Below are 1,586 nucleotides of genomic sequence, written 5' to 3'. Positions count from 1 at the left end.
GGGTGTGGTGGCTTATGCCTGTAATTCTAGCACTTTGGGAGGCCAAGGCAGGAGGATCTCCTGAGGTCAGGAGTTCAAGAGCAGCCTGGCCAAAATGATGAAACCATGTCTCTACTAAAAATACAAAAATTAGGTGGGCTTGGTTGCACACACCTGTAATTCCAGCTACTTGGGAGGCTGAGGCAGGAGAATTGCTTGAACCCAGGAGGCGGAGGTTGCAGTGAGCCAGGATCATGCTACTGCACTCCAGCCTGGGCAACAGAGTGATAATACATTAAAAAAAAAAAAAAAAAAAAAAGAGTCCGTTATGGTTGCTGCTGCCCTGAGGAGGATGAGGGGGCCCGCACAAGCAAAACTGCTGCCCAAGTCGGCCATCCAAGCCTTTGCGGGGCTGGTGCGGCCGCTGGTCTTGGCGCTCCTCCTTGTGTCCGCCACTCTATCCAGTGTTGTATCATGGACTGATTCACTGATTCAAACTGTACTCAACTCAGATATTTCTACCCCAAATGTGAATGCTTTAACACATGAAAAACAAACCAAATCTTCTATTTCCCAAATCAGTACCACCCTCCCTCCCACAATGAATACTGAGAAAAGTGGAGGAGCATCTGTGGCCCCTCATCCCTCACCTACACCTCTGTCTCAAGAGGAAGCTGATAACAATGAAGATCCTAGCATAGAGGAGGAGGATCTTCTCACGCTGAACAGTTCTCCATCCACAGCCAAAGACACTCTGGACAGTGGCAATTATGGAGAACCAGACTATGGAACAGACTATGGAACCAGACTACTGGACCACGGGCCACAGGGATGACGACGAGTCTGATGACACCTTGGAAGAAAACAGGGGTTACATGGAAATTGAACAGTCAGTGAAATCTTTTAAGATGCCATCCTCAAATATAGAAGAGGAAGATAGCCATTTCTTTTTTCATCTTATTATTTTTGCTTTTTGCATTGCTATTGTCTACATTACATATCACAAAAAAAGGAAGATTTTTCTTCTAGTTCAAAGCAGAAAATGGCGTGATGGCCTTTGTTCCAAAACAGTAGAATACCATTGCCTAGATCAGAATGTTAATGAGGCAATGTCTTCTTTGAAGATTACCAATAATTATATTTTTTGCCCTGTGATTTGAGTTTGCTTATTATGTAATTTTATTTGCTTGACTTTTTATATGATATTGTGCAGATGTTTGCCATAGGCAATTGGTACTTAAATGAGAGGTGGGTCTCTCTTTTGCCTTGGTGCTTTGGAAATTAAATGTCATAAACAAGGAGTATATAATTTTTTGATCTGTACTTTTAGAGTTGAGTTTAATCAGGTGTCCAAAATGTGAGTTAAGCATTACCTTATATTTACACTGTTAGTTTTTATTGTTTTAGATTTATTATGCTTCTTCTGGAAGTATTAGTGATGCTACTTTTAAAAGATCCCAAACCTGTAACTAAATTCTAACATATCTGTCACTGCTGACTCACATTCATTCTCTGCCATTCAAATACTATTTTTTAACCACACATTTTTTTGTGGTCCCAAACTGTAATGTACAAGGATATGTGTGATAATGCTTTACATTTGAATA

General features: G+C 40.9%; 1 pseudogene; it reads left to right on the top strand.

Annotated features, from left to right (window-relative positions):
- C5orf15P1 (C5orf15 pseudogene 1) lies at positions 299–1,324 on the top strand (annotated as a pseudogene).
- The last annotated feature ends 262 nt before the right edge of the window (positions 1,325–1,586 follow it).

The sequence above is a fragment of the Homo sapiens genome, chromosome 1 (genome assembly GCF_000001405.40).
Source record: "Homo sapiens chromosome 1, GRCh38.p14 Primary Assembly".
Lineage (NCBI taxonomy): Eukaryota > Metazoa > Chordata > Mammalia > Primates > Hominidae > Homo > Homo sapiens.
Note: the sequence above shows the minus strand (reverse complement) of the source record. Positions and strands in the feature narration are given on the sequence as shown.